Consider the following 16,139-nt stretch of genomic DNA (forward strand, 5'->3'; position numbering starts at 1 on the left):
CAAAGAAATATTTAAAGCAAATTTTAATTGTGTCCTAATTAACTGTATAATGTCTTTACTAATCAAATTTAACGTATTGCTTACCAAAAGATGTGAGGTAACTTACTGCGCAAGAAATTACTCAACTGGTTAGAAGATGGCCAGATATTATTTATGACATATTTGTACTGGTTTAAAAGTAGTTCCTCTAAATCATCATGGAAGAAACAAAATAATTTACAAAAATAAAAAAAATATAGAAGCACACTGAATTATAGGAAAAAGTATTTGTAACATAGCAGGTAAGGGAAAAAACTAGATAGAAAACAGTATTTTTTTCTCCTAAGGGGAAAAAAAATTATATACATACAGAGAGACACATAGACTGAGAGATAAATAAATATATAAATATCTATCTTCCTACACAAAGATCACAAGTTACTTTTGTTTATGTATCTGCCTTTTAAATTTTCAATGCATATAAAATTGATGTGATAAAAAGTTTCCAAAAACAGAATTAACTGTTTTTCAAAATTTGCCTACAGACATTTTAAAAGTGGATATCATGCTTTTGCTGACAAAACAATTATAAAAATCCAAGTGTAATTCACTATGTTACTCTGTAATATGTCTTCTGTTTCTCATTCAGCCCTTTTCCCCAATTTTCCCATCTTTCGCTACAGAGATTTAGTTACTTGAGACTATATACTTCTAAACAGTTGACATGGTTTGGCTGTGTCCCCGCCCAAATCTCACCTTGAATTGTAATAATCCCCATGTGTCCAGGGCGGGGCCAGGTGGAGATAACTGAATCATGGGTGCGGTCTCCCCATAAGTTTCAGAAGATCCAATGGTTTTATAAATGGGAGTTCCCCTGCACAAGCTCTCTTGCCTGTCACAATATAAGACGAGAATTTGTTTCTCATTCGCCTTCCACCATGATTGTGAGGCCTCTCTAGCCATGTGGAACTGTGAGTCAATTAAACCTCTTTGCCTGATAAATTACCCAGTCTCAGGTATGCCTTTATTAGCAGCATGAGAACAGAACAGACTAATACAATAGTACACATCATCTCTTTTGCTCTCCATAGCTACTGGCTCCCTCTCACTTTCTCTATTACTAATAGTAGGCATCATCTCTTTTCCTCCCTGGAGCTACTGGCTCCCTCTCACTTTCTCTGTTACTAATACAATAGCACGCATCATCTCTTTTCCTCCCTCGAGCTACTGGCTCCCTCTCACTTTCTCTATTCTTATTACTGGCACCTCTCTGCACTCAGACCGTATTTTCTCTCTGCTCTCTCTCATCCATTATAAAAAATCAGCCATCTTAATCAAATATTCTTTCAAAGTGACTCTATCTTGCCATTCTCCATTCCTCCTGCTGCCGCAACCCTAAGGCTGCCTAACTTGTGGCCTTGCTGCACCAATCAAATCTCACACCCATCTCCTCGTCAAAAAACCTCGAATGCTTCCTACTGTTTAGTGGAATTCCAAACCCCCAATTACCTTTCCAATCCTGTCACCCACACCCTGTGATACTCAGCATACTTTGAGCCAGAGTTGTATTTAAATAAACACTTAAAGGATGAGCAATACTCCTTCAACCTGCAGAGGTTGTTTTCTCCTCAACTCATCTCCAGGCCTTCCCTCAAACGTGTTCCTTGTCGCCTCTCCAACTTGTCCCTGAGACTCCCCAAGTTCTCTCTCCTAAGGGCCTTCCCTGACCACTCTCCACAATGGGGGCTGCTCCCTCCTTCCACCTCCTACAGCATTTGCTTTAACCACAACGCAGGCCCTTGGGGTATGCCAACTTTAAGATTCTTTGTTACCTCCTGCATGCCTATCCATCTGGTCTCTTATATAAAATCTGAGCTCCTTTAAGATGTGGTCATTGTTATACATCTTTTGCACCTCCCACTCACCACAGAGTTTCCTGGTGTTTTATTTAAATGGCAGGCACTCAATACACATCTGTTTAAACTAACAGGAAGCAACACCAAAAGTACTAGGCAAACAGAAAAACGCATGTCGTTAAGACTAGAAACAAAACTGACTTCCTAGACTTTAACTTCTACATCTAGATGAAACATTACCTGACACTTGCCACAAGAACATCCTCCATAAGAAAACATCTGTCGTTGGCCAGGCACGGTGGCTCATGCCTGTAATCCCAGCACTTTGGGAGGCCAAGGCAGGAGGATCATGAGGTCAGGAGATCGAGACCATCCTGGCTAACACGGTGAAACCCCATCTCTACTAAAAATGCAAAAAATTACCCGGGCATGGTGGCAGGCGCCTGTAGTCCCAGCTACTTGGGAGGCTGAGGCAGGAGGATGGCATGAACCTGGGGAGGCAGAGCTTGCAGTGAGCCAAGATCATACCACTGCATTCCAGCCTGGGTGACAGAGTAAGACTCCATCTCAAAAAAAAAAAAAAAAAAAATCTGTCGTATGCCTTAGCCCCACATGTTTTATAACAAGTCCTGTCCTGACTACCACCACCCAGGATCCTGTGCCCCGAGCCAGCCCAAGTGTTTAGCCATTCCCTCCACACCTGTGGCACTCTGACAGCTCTTTACTTTGTATGTGTTGTTTTCTTTGCCTAAAAAGGTCTTCCATTGCCAACAAACCCTTCTCTACCTACTCATCTTCGAGCGTAATTCAAACATTACCACCTCTCCATAACTTAATGACTCTCCATAGAAAGATATAATTAGACCACACCATCTTCTGCTAATTAATCCTGTACACTACTTATCAATCATATCATGGCTTCTGGGGTTTTTTACACTTACACACAGTTCTCACTCTGATATTAATGGACAGGAGCCATGATGTATGCATTGATACACACCCAGTCCATGACACTGTATCTAGGTACCTTCAAAAAAACAGTGGAACTGATTCTAAATTCTCAAACAAATGAAAAGGGCAGAATTGGGCTCATTTTAATCCCCTAGGAGCCCTCTTTCCTTATCTGGCTCAGTTCCACTGGCTGTCGCTGATCTACAGAGCTGCCAACTTTCCTGCTACCATCACACCTGGTGTGAAGGCTGCAATGAAGCTCCCTTCCACCTCCCAAGCTAAAGAAGAATCCTCTCTTTACACAGGTTAGCAGAGAGAAGGCTGGGATATTTCACATGGAATTTTTACTAGGAAGAAAGTCAAGTCAGGAAAAAGTCACAGAAAATCAGCAAAGTAGACAGGTTTACAGAATGCTTACTGCTGATCCATAATTAACTAAGAAGCTCGGCCTGGCACGGTCCCCACATTGCTGTGTTTCCCGTTCTTCCCCTCACCACAATACCATCTGTGATAAATGGTAAACCTGACATCCTTAGCATGCTAAGCCAAGGCAGATTTGGGTTGGTACCACACTATCCAGGCCTGGTGAGATCACCAGAACTTTTGCCAGATCCACAATCCTTTCCACAAACTGCTGACTGCTGTTTTCTTCAGGTATGGTCCCCCTGACGTCATCTCTTAGGACTCCAAGCCACACAAACTGTTACTCAAAAGTCACATAGTCCCAGCCACCCCAAGGGAAGAGAGTACTTCCCCATTTATACCAAAGATTCCACCCTCGGCCTTCAAGTGCACTTAAACAGAAACACTACAGGTGTCTCTCCAGAACTCTGCATGAATTCTCACCCTCTCTAGGTCTACCTGATCAATTAGACTCTCCCCCAGTATAGTCCTGCTGGCTGCTGAAAGTGGATGTAGCAGCTGACAAAGATACATCGTTCCAAACTAAGGTCTCAGCCTAGCTTCTCCAGGGACCATGTGGCCTCCTCGAAAGGTGGACACAGCCTTTAAGTGGAGTCTTATCAATGGATCACACCAACCAGTGAGATTGTAAGATGCACCATGTATTGAGACACCCTCTATGGTGTTCCCACTTCCTGTCAGAAGGATGCCCACCACTCTTGCTTGTTTAGAAAACAGAAGTAACAGATAGGTCCTCGGTTCAAAGAACGATGACTTCTTTACCAGCTTAAGCTAATGAGCTACTTTCCATTTTGATAGGATCTTTGGCAGCCCACTTAGTTACTTTTCTGCAAGTGATCTTTCAGATTTCTGTCACTGGAGTTTTACAATATCAACACACCTTAAATGCACATACGAAGACCTTCTCTGGTTCTCTCATACAGACCTCATTCCAACCATGGTGGTCCCAACATGCACAACCATAGAGATCAGCTTAGGTAAGGAACAAATGCTTTTCTGTTTTCTGGACTTTCATCCTCCAGAATCCTTTTCCAACTTAGAAACTGTATACTGTATTGTGGCCAGAAATGGTGGCTCGTGCCTGTAATCCCAGCACTTTAGGAGGCCAAGGCAGGCAGATCACTTGAGGTCAGAAGTTCAAGACCAGTCTGGCCAGCATGGGGAAACCCGTCTCTACTAAAAATACAAAAATTGGTGGATGGTTCCAAGATGGCCGAATAGGAACAGCTCCAGTCTACAGCTCCCAGCGTGAGCGATGCAGAAGACAGGTGATTTCTGCATTTCCAACTGAGGCACCAGGGTCATCTCACTGGGGCTCATTGGACAGTGGGGGCAGGACAGTGGGTGCAGCCCACCAAGTGTGAGCCGAAGCAGGGCGAGGCATCGCCTCACCCAGGAAGCGCAAGGGGTCAGGGAATTCCCTTTCCTAGCCAAGGGAAGGGGTAACAGACGGCACCTGGAAAATCGGGTCACTCCCACCCTAATACTGCGCTTTTCCAACGGTCTTAGCAAACGGCACACCAGGAGAATATATCCTGCGCCTCGCTCGGAGGGTCCCACGCCCACGGAGCCTCGCTCATTGCTAGCAAAGCAGTCTGAGATCCAACTGCAAGGTGGCAGTGAGGCTGGGGGAGGGGCGCCCACCATTGCTGAGGCTTGAGTAGTAAACAAAGCGGCCTGGAAGCTCGAACTGGGTGGAGCCCACCACAGCTCCAGGAGTCCTCTGTAGACTCCACCTCTGGGGGCAGAGCATAGCCGAACAAAAGGCAGCAGAAACCTCTGCAGACTTAAATGTCCCTGTCTGACAGCTTTGAAGAGAGTAGTGGTTCTCCCAGCACAGGGTTTGAGATCTGAGAACAGACAGAATGCCTCAAGTGAGACCCTGAGCCCCAAGTAGCCTAACTGGGAGGCGCCCCCCAGTAGGGGCAGATTGACACCTCACACAGCCGGGTACCCCTCTGAAATGAAGCTTCCAGAGGAAAGATCAGGCAGCAACATTTGCTGTTCAGCAATATTTGCTGTTCTGCAGCCTCCGCTGCTGATACCCAGGCAAACAGGGTCTGGTGTGGACCTCCATCAAACTCCAACAGACCTGCAGCTGAGGGTCCTGACTGTTAGAAGGAAAACTAACAAACAGAAAGGACATCCACACCAAAACCCCATCTGTACGTCACCATCATCAAAGACCAAAGGTAGATAAAACCACAAAGATGGGGGAAAAAACAGAGCAGAAAAGCTGAAAATTCTAAAAATCAGAGCACCTCTCCTGCTCCAAAGGAACGCAGCTCCTCACCGGCAACGGAACAAAGCTGGACGGACAATGACTTTCACGAGTTGAGAGAAGAAGGCTTCAGACGATCAAACTTCTCCGAGCTAAAGGAGGAAGTTCGAACCCAAAGCAAAGAAGCTAAAAACCTTGAAAAAAAGATTGGACGAAAGGCTAACTAAAATAACCAGCGTAGAGAAGTCCTTAAATGACCTGATGGAGCTGAAAACCATGGCACAAGAACTATGTGACAAATGCACAAGCTTCAGTAGCCGATTCGATCAACTGGAAGAAAGGGTATCAGTGATGGAAGATCAAATGAATGAAATGAAGCGAGAAGAGAAGTTTAGAGAAAAAAGAGTAAAAAAGAAATGAACAAAGCCTCCAAGAAATACGGGACTATGTGAAAAGACCAAATCTATGTCTGACTGGTGTACCTGAAAGTGATGGGGAGAATGAAACCAAGTTGGAAAACACTCTGCAGGATAATATCCAGGAGAACTTCCCCAACCTAGCAAGGCAGGCCAACATTCAAATTCAGGAAATACAAAGAACGCCACAAAGATACTCCTCGAGAAGAGCAAGTCCAAGACACATAACTGTCAGATTCACCAAAGTTGAAATGAAGGAAAAAAATGTTAAGGGCAGCCAGAGAGAAAGGTCGGGTTACCCACAAAGGGAAACCCATCAGACTAACAGCAGATCTCTCGACAGAAACTGATCTCCCGACAGATCTCTGGCCAGAAGAGAGTGGGGGCCAATATTCAACATTCTTAAAGAAAAGAATTTTCAACCCAGAATTTCATATCCAGCCAAACTAAGCTTCATAAGTGAAGGAGAAATAAAATACTTTACAGACAAGCAAATGCTGAGAGATTTTGTCAACACCAGGCCTGCCCTAAAAGAGCTCCTGAAGGAAGCACTAAACATGGAAAGGAACAACTGGTACCAACCACTGCAAAAACATGCCAAATTGTAAAGACCATCGATGCTAGGGAGAAACTGTATGAAGCAACGAGCAAAATAACCAGCTAACATCATAAAGACAGGATCAAATTCACACATAACAATATTAACCTTAAATGTAAATGGGCTAAATGCTCCAATTAAAAGACACAGACTGGCAAATTGGATAAAGAGTCAAGACCCATCAGTGTGCTGTATTCAGCAAACCCATCTCACGTGCAGAGACACACATAGGCTCAAAATAAAGGGATGGAGGAAGATCTACCAAGCAAATGGAAAAAAAAAAAAAAAGGCAGGGGTTGCAATCTTAGTCTCTGATAAAACAGACTTTAAACCAACAAAGATCAAAAAAGACAAAGAAGGCCATTACATAATGGTAAAGGGATCAATTCAACAAGAAGAGCTAACTATTCTAAATACATATGCACCCAATACAGGAGCACCAAGATTCATAAAGCAAGTCCTGAGTGACCTACAAAGAGACTTAGACTCCCACACAATAATAATGGGAGACTTTAACACCCCACTGTCAACATTAGACAGATCAACGAGACAGAAAGTTAACAAGGATATCCAGGAATTGAACTCAGCTCTGCACCAAGCAGACCTAACAGACATCTACAGAACTCTCTACCCCAAATCAACAGAATATACATTCTTCTCAGCACCACATGGCACTTATTCCAAAATTGACCACATAGTTGGAAGTAAAGCCCTCTTCAGCAAATGTAAAAGAACAGAAACTATAACAAACTGTCTCTCAGACCACAGTGCAATCAAACTAGAACTCAGGATTAAGAAACTCACTCAAAACCACTCAACTACATGGAAACTGAACAACCTGCTCCTGAATGACTACTGGGTACATAACGAAATGAAGTCGGAAATAAAGACGTTCTTTGAAACCAATGAGAACAAAGACACAACATACCAGAATCTCTGGGACACATTTAAAGCAGTGTGTAGAGAGAAATCTATAGCACTAAATGCCCACAAGAGAAGCAGGAAACATCTAAAATTGACACCCTAACATCACAATTAAAAGAACTAGAGAAGCAAGAGCAAACACATTGAAAAGCTAGCAGAAGGCAAGAAATAACTAAGATCAGAGCAGAACTGAAGGAGATGGAGACACAAAAAACCCTTCCAAAAATTAATGAATCCAGGAGCTGGTTTTTTGAAAGATCAACAAAATTGATAGACTGCTAGCAAGACTAATAAAGAAGAAAAGAGAGAAGAATTAAATAGACGCAATAAAAAATGAGAAAGGGGATATCTCCACCGATCCCACAGAAATAAAAACTACCATCAGAGAATACTATAAACACCTCTACGCAAATAAACTAGAAAATCTAGAAGAAATGGATAAATTCGTCGACACATACACCCTCCCAAGACTAAACCAGGAAGAAGTTGAATCCCTGAATAGACCAATAACAGGATCTGAAATTGAGGCAATAATTAATAGCCTACCAACCAAAAAAAGTCCAGGACCAGACAGATTCACAGCCGAATTCTACCAGAGGTACAAGGAGGAGCTGCTACCATTCTTTCTGAAACTATTCCAATCAATAGAAAAAGAGGGAATCCTCCCTAACTCATTTTATGAGGCCAGCCATCATCCTGATACCAAAGCCTGGCAGAGACACAACAAAAAAAGAGCATTTTAGACCAATATCCCTGATGAACATCGATGCAAAAATCCTCAATAAAATACTGGCAAACCAAATTCAGCAGCACATCAAAATGCTTATCCACCATGATAAAGTGGGCTTCATCCCTGGGGTGCAAGGCTGGTTCAACATACGCAAATCAATAAAAGTAATCCAGCATATAAACAGAACCAAAGACAAAAACCACATTATTATCTCAATAGATGCAGAAAAGGCCTTTGATAAACTTCAACAGCACTTCATTCTAAAAACTCTCAATAAATTAGGTAAAGATGGGACGTATCTCAAAATAATAAGAGCTATCTATGACAAACCCACAGCCAATATCATACTAAATGGGCAAAAACTGGAAGCATTCCCTTTGAAAACTGGCACAAGACAAGGATGCCGTCTCTCACCACTCCTATTTAACATAGTGTTGGAAGTCCTGGCCAGGGCAATCAGGCAGGAGAAAGAAATAAAGGGTATTCAATTAGGAAAAGAGGAAGTCAAATTGTCCTGTTTGCAGATGACATGATTGTATATTTAGAAAACCCCATCGTCTCAGCCCAAAATCTCCTTCAGCTGATAAGCAACTTCAGCAAAGTCTCAGGATACAAAATCAATGTGCAAAAATCACAAGCATTCTTATACACCAATAACAGACAAACAGAGAGCCAAATCATGAGTGAACTCCCATTCACAATTGCTTCAAAGAAAATAAAATACCTAGGAATCTAACTTACAAGGGATGTGAAGGACCTCTTCAAGGAGAACTGCAAATCACTGCTCAATGAAATAAAAGAGGATACAAACAAATGGAAGAACATTCCATGCTCATGGATAGGAAGAATCAATATCATGAAAATGGCCATACTTCCCAAGGTAATTTACAGATTCAATTCCATCCCCATCAAGCTACCAATGACTTTCTTCACAGAATTGGAAAAAACTACTTTAAAGTTCATATGGAACCAAAAAAGAGCCTGCATTGCCAAGTCAATCCTAAGCCAAAAGAACAAAGCCAGAGGCGTCACGTTACCTGACTTCAAACTATACTACAAAGCTACAGTAACCAAAACAGCACGGTACTGGTACCAAAACAGAGACATAGACCAATGGAACAGAACAGAGGCCTCAGAAATAATACCACACATCTACAACCATCTGATCTTTCACAAACCTGACAAAAACAAGAAATGGGGAAGGATTCCCTATTTAACAAATGGTACTGGGAAAACTGGCTAGCCATATGTAGAAAGTTGAAACTGGATCCCTTCCTTACACCTTATACAAAAATTAATTCAAGATGGATTAAAGACTTACATGTTAGACCTAAAACCATAAAAACCCTAGAAGAAAACCTAGGCAATACCATTCAGGACACAGGCATGGGCAAGGACCTCATGTCTAAAACACCAAAAGCAATGGCAACAAAAGCCAAAATTGACAAATGGGATCTAATCAAACTAAAGAGCCTCTGCACAGCAAAAGAAACAACCATCAGAGTGAACAGGCAACCTACAGAATGGGAGAAAATTTTTTCAATCTACTCATCTGACAAAGGGCTAATATCCAGAATCTACAAAGAACTCAGCCAAACTCACAAGAAAAAAACAAACAACCCCATCAAAAAGTGGGTGAAGGATGTGAACAGACACTTCTCAAAAGAAGACATTTATGCAGCCAAAAGACACATGAGAAAATGCTCATCATCACTGGCCATCAGAGAAATGCAAATCAAAACCACAGTGAGATACCATCTCACACCAGTTAGAATGACGATCATTAAAAAGTCAGGAAACAACAGGAGCTGGAGAGGATGTGGAGAAATAGGAACACTTTTACACTGTTGGTGGGACTGTAAACTAGTTCAACCATTGTGGAAGACAGTGTGGCAATTCCTCAAGGATCTAGAACTAGAAATACCATTTGACCCAGCAATCCCATTACTGGGTATATACCCAAAGGATTATAAATCACGCTGCTGTAAAGGCACATGCACACGTATGTTTATTGCGGCACTATTCACAATAGCAAAGACTTGGAACCAACCCAAATGTCCATCAATGATAGACTGGATTAAGAAAATGTGGCACATATACACCATGGAATACTATGCAGCCATAAAAAATGATGAGTTCATATCCTTTGCAGGGACATGGATGAAGCTGGAAACCATCATTCTCAGCAAACTATCGCAAGAACAAAAAAACAAACACCACATGTTCTCACTCATAGGTGGGAATTGAACAATGAGAACACTTGGACACAGGAAGGGGAACATCACACACTGGGGCCTGTTGTGGGGTGGGGGGAGGAGGGAGGGATAGCATTAGGAGATATACTTAATGTAAATGACAAGTTAATGGGTGCAGCACATCAACATGGCTCATGTATACATATGTAACAAACCTGCACGTTGTGCCCATGTACCCTAGAACTTAAAGTATAATAAAAAAATAATAATAACAACAATACAAAAATTAACTAGGCGTGGTGGTACATGCCTATAATCCCAGCTACTCGGGAGGCTGAGGCATGAGAATCACATGAACCCGGGAGACAGAGGTTGCAGTGAGCTGACATGCGCAACCTGCACTCCAGCCTGGGAGACACAGTGAGACTCTGTCTCAGAAAAAAAAAAAAAGAAAAAAAAGAAACTCTACACTGTATTTCTGGGCTAAAAACAAATTTATAAAGAACATTGCTTTGTTTTTAAGAGACAGGGTCTCACTCTGTCATCCAGGCTGGAATGTGGTGGCACATTCATAGCTCACTGAAGCCTCAAATTCCTAGGCTCAAGCCATCCTCCTGCCTCAGCCTCTCACTGGGATTACAGGTGTCCAGAATCCTGATTTTTTATGTATAATCTAAATCTCCTTACAAATGTGTCCTTTTTTTTCCTCCCCACAAAACTATCCCTGCTTTTAATTCATTTGCTTTTGGAGTCTTTATTTCTCCTTTACTTAAATCATTACTTAATTTCAAGCATTTACTGAATCAATACATAACACATATCAGATGCAGGACACCTTTCATATAAGTTACCTCACTGAATCGTTACAATTTAAAAAAATGTTTTATTATGAACATGTTCAGACCAGGTGTGGTGGCTCACACCTGTAATCCCAGCACTTTGGGAGGCCAAGGCGTGCAGATCACCTGAGGTCAGGAGTTCAAAACCAGCCTGATCAACATGGTGAAACCCCGTCTCTACTAAAAACACAAAATTAGCCGGGTGTGGTGGCACATGCCTGTAATCCCAGCTACCCAGGAGCCTGAAAATCACCTGAACCCGGGAGGTGGAGGTTGCAGTGAGCTGAGAAAGCGCCATTGCACTCCAGCCTGGGCAACAAGAGTGAAACTCTGTCTCAGAAAACAAGAAAAGAAAAGAAAATTTTTCAAACATATACAAAGTAGAGAGAACAGTGTAATAAACCCAATATTCCATTTCCCAATTTCAAAAGTTATCATCATACTGCCTACTCATTTTCCTCAACTCAACAAAACTGGATTATTTAAAAGCAAATCTCAGAAACGGTAGTCTCATCTGTAAAAATGTTTCAGTGTATATCTCTAAAACATAGACTCTATATTTCCCATAATGAGAATATTATCAGCCTAAACATCGATTAATACCAACTCCTTAATATCAAATATCCTGTCCATGTTCAAAGTCCTTGATGTCTCAATTAGTTTTAATAGTAACACATTGTGATGAGGAAAGAGAGGTTCATAGATTTAATACCTTTCTACACCATATTCAGTACACATCAAATTTCTCATTTGACACCCTGGTCCTCTTTCCATACAACTCAGCTGCCTTTTCATAATGTTTAGAAAAACATATATATATAAAATATGTGTATATTAATATATGTTATTAATAATATATCATATATGTGTGTGTATATATACATATATATTATATGTGTGTATATTATCTTACAAAAGTGGCCTTTTCTTTTCTGAGTACTTTAATTTCAGCTGAATAACATAAAGGTGTTTCGGTGTCTGGAACCTGAGACAGACTTTTATTCTATTAATCATTCACTGCCCACTATCACAAAATAGGTGGAAATATAAGATGCCAGTATAAGACACAAACTTCCATGGTGTCTGTTGTGCTCTAGTATCTAGTATTATCCATACTGGAGCCTCCTCTCAGGATACCGCAGTCATCATAAAGTGATGATAATGATGATGACCACAACAATAGGCTTCTACCAGGGAGAGACAGTATAGTCCCATGGATGAGTGAAGGATTACTGAGATGTTTACAATGAGCTTTAAACTTCCTAGGAGAAAAAGCTATACGGGTCAATCCTGGAAAGGTAAATGGGTTGCAAAACTGAATACTCCAGCAACCGCTTTTATTCACATACCTTACACCACATGAGATAAAAGAAATTAAAATATAAGCCATGTTGTCATCACAGTCACCTACATTTTAAAAAGCAGACGTATTTGTAAGGCTCTCCCCTCTTAAGACATGTTGGGATTTTCTTTTTTTTTTTTTTTCTTGAGACAGTCTTGCTCTGTCGCCCAGGCTGGAGTGCAGTGGCACGATCTCAGCTCACTGCAACCTCCGCCTCCCAGGTTCAAGCGATTCTCCCACCTCAGCCTCCTGAATAGCCAGGATTACAGGCACGTGCCACCACACCTGGCTAGTTTTGGTACTTTCAGTAAAGATGGGGTTTCACCATGTTGGCCAGGCTGGTCTCAAACTCCTGACCTCAGGGGATCCACCCACCTCAGCCTCCCAAAGTGCTGGGATTACAGGCATGAGCCACCGTGCCGGGCTGACACTTTGGGACTTTTTCAAAATATAACAACGAAATAAAGAGCTGTTTGAAAATAATATTTAAAAGTTATAGAACACAAATCAAACAAGAAACAAAATAGATTCCTTTATACTGACCTTCAAAAATATTGTTCTAAGCTCAGCTGGATCTGCTCTCTTGGTTAAAGCCACCTATAAATAAACATAAAAATGTTTATGTTATTACAACAAAGCTGAGAAATCAAGCTAGCCGACTAAAGGAAAATAAATCTCAGATTAAAAATTAGTGCATTTCATTTTTGTACTTAAATACCATGTTGCCCCAGTGCATAAACTATGCCCCCTTCCCATTTTAAATTAGACTCCTTATGCAGCTTCTAAAATGATAAAATTTTATGCAAGGAACCAGTAGCAAAATCTCTTAATATCTAATGTTGAATGTATATCATTTCTTAAAAAGAAAAGGTGAAACATTGCAAACACCTGTCATTTTTTACTTATAATCCAGTGTAAACCATGCCCTTTCACAGGAGAATTTAAGTAAACAAATGTTTGTCAACTATGCAAGAGAACATATTTCTTTTTTTTTTTTCTGAGACAGTCTCTCTCTGTTGCCCAGGCTGGAGTGTAGTGGTGCAATCTCGGCTCACTGCAACCTCTGCCTCCCAGGTTCAAGCGATTCTCCTGCCTCAGCCTCCTGAGTAGCTGGGATTGCAGGCGCGTACTACCACTCCCAGCTAATTTATGTATTTTTAGTAGAGATAGGGTTTCACCATGTTGGCCAGGCTGGTCTCAAACTCCTGACCTCAAGTGATCTGCCCGCCTCAGCCTCCCAAAGTGCTAAGATTACAGGCGTGAGCCATCGTGCCCAGCCAAGAGAACATATTTCTTAAAGAAGTCAGTGAACTAGGGAAATCATATTAACTCAAGGGAGTTACTTCTCACAGTTTCACCATGAACAGGCATGTATACCTCACTACCTGGGCATGCCAAAGAACCTCTCCTCCTCTCCTCAGTTTTTAATTAATAAATCATAGGTCTCCAAAGGTATGATATTATTCTACATATTTTAGAAATACAAGTGGCTGTGGTTATCTTTGAAGAGCAAAAATTGACAGATTAGCTCAGAATGGGTGTTGTGCTTAATTCTGCAGGCCACAAAGTCCAAAAACATTGCTGGGGAAAAGCAAGACAAACTTCAACATGGCTTCCTCAGGCCAACACAAAAGAGCCCTTATGTGGAACCAAACAGTGGGTTTATTCAATGTCCCAACACCCAATCCTCCTAGCAAAAAACATCATGAGACTGGGTTCCCACCAAGCACAGAGCCACCCCATGATGAAGCCAAGGAGAGGTTCCTGGAACCACCCAACACTGGACCCATGTTGCTATCCACAGGGAAACTTATGCAAATTGTCCTAAATCCCTTCTGTGAGCTAGTGAAGGCTGTTCTGAGATCTTTGGACAATGAGTTCTCTGTCTCTAAATATGGAACTGCCTGAGCTCCTAGGCTCTCCACTGTCAGGAATAATTTTATTAACTAATCACTAGAATGGGAGTAGTCTTTCTGAAACCAGATGGTTGGTCACCTTGTTTCCCAAAGCAAGACTGATAACTCTTCATTTCAGCTGAGTGCTTGTAACCACCAAGGCTATTCATAAGAATTTGTAATACTTTTTTTTTTTTCTTTGAGATGGAGTTTCACTCTTGTTGCCCAGGCTGGAGTGCAATGATGCAGTCTTAGCTCACTGCAACCTCAGCCTCCCAGGTTCAAACGATTCTCCTGCCTCAGCCTCCCAAGTAGTTGGGATTATAGGCATGCACCACCATGCCCGGCTAATTTTTTATTTTTAGTACAGATGGGGTTTTACCATGTTGGCCAGGCTGGTCTCCAACTCGTGACCTTAGGTGATCTGCCCGCCTCAGACTCCCAAAACGCTGGGATTACAGGCATGAGCCACTGTGCCCAGCCATGAATTTTTAATCTTTTTAAAAATCCTGAATTAGTAAGTGTTCTCTGCTGTTCAATAGAGGAGAAGAAAATGTACTGCTAGTTAACCTAAGATGAATGACTCTGCTGCCCTAAAAGCTTCAGAGAGGACTCCCTCCTCTCAGGTCTCTATTCTGAGAAAGGTAGGGTAGGACGAACACAAGAGAAGATGGGACAGCATAAAATGCCCCCATCCTCCACTTTAAGAGCAGAAAAATCTCCTCCTTGATGGTAAGAGTCCCACATCTCATGGAAGTACATAACACTTTTTTCAAAAGCATATGGTACCCTAAGTTCTTAACTGTTTTCCTCTTAAAAGCAAAATAAATTTTCCACAAAATGAAGTATTCTTCGTAATTCTAAAATAGAATTAATTCTTTATGCCATGAACTTTGTAAGGTCTTGCCTGGGCAATGCTATTTCAGAGTGAACCTCCCCTGCCCTCAATTTTCATAGCACATTTCTGCTTAAGGATCCTGAAATGTATATTCAGTGCTCCCCATCAGAACTACACCTCAAAGGGGGAAAAAAAGTGTTCACTTTGTAACCTTCTCAGGGTCTAGGGCAGAGAACACAAATCAAAACAAAGACAGAGAATGACCCAACACTTATAAGGCATGTTGCCTAACATTTACAGTTTTCTAAGCAAGACTATTATCTCGTTGGATTCTCACTGCAAATCAGTCAGATAAGATGGATATTACTGCCCTAATTTTACAGAAGAGGAAACCAAAGCTCAGAAAGCATCAATTATTTCCCCCAAAAAGTCAGATTAAGTGCCAATCTGTGCTGACATTTCTAAATGTTTTCTGAGCTGAGATCAGATCCCAAATATTCCATCTCTTACCGTAGTGGCCTTCCTACAGACCCACATTACAGGCAGCTTCAAAGTGTTGATAACTTGCATTAGCTGGCAATATAATACAGTCATGCATCACTTAACAACAGGATAACATTCTGAAAAATGCATTGTTAAGTGATTTCATCATTGTGTGAACATCATATAGTGTACTTATACAAACCTAGATGGTGTAGCCTACTACATACCTAGGCAAATGAGATAGCCTATTGCTCCTAGGCTACAAATCTATACAGCATGTTCCTATACTGATTACTGTAGGCAACTGTAAAACAAGTATCTAAACATAGAAAAGGTGTGGTAAAAATATGGTTTTAAAAGATAAAAAGTGGAACACCTGTACAGGGCAGCTCCACTATAATTTATGGAGCCACCATCATATATGCAGTCCTTCATTGATGAAAACATCC

At 41.5% G+C, this 16,139-nt stretch overlaps 1 protein-coding gene across 7 annotated transcripts in view; it reads right to left on the reverse strand.

The window, feature by feature from the left end:
- Positions 1 to 16,139, reverse strand: part of SLC25A13 (solute carrier family 25 member 13) — a 201,879-nt gene that overhangs the window by 163,661 nt on the left and 22,079 nt on the right. For 5 of the 7 annotated variants that reach the window (NR_027662.2, NM_014251.3, NM_001160210.2 and 2 more), the window contains one exon: positions 13,018 to 13,071. Coding sequence is in view for 6 of the 7 variants with exons in the window: in NM_014251.3 (NP_055066.1) it covers positions 13,018 to 13,071 (54 nt within the window). In the remaining variant the exon portion in view is untranslated. Of the gene's footprint in view, positions 1 to 735; positions 958 to 13,017; positions 13,072 to 16,139 lie in introns of those variants that run through there. The other 2 variants (XM_017011663.2, XM_047419713.1) reach the window with 1 other exon arrangement.

This window comes from Homo sapiens, chromosome 7, assembly GCF_000001405.40.
Source record: "Homo sapiens chromosome 7, GRCh38.p14 Primary Assembly".
NCBI lineage: Eukaryota > Metazoa > Chordata > Mammalia > Primates > Hominidae > Homo > Homo sapiens.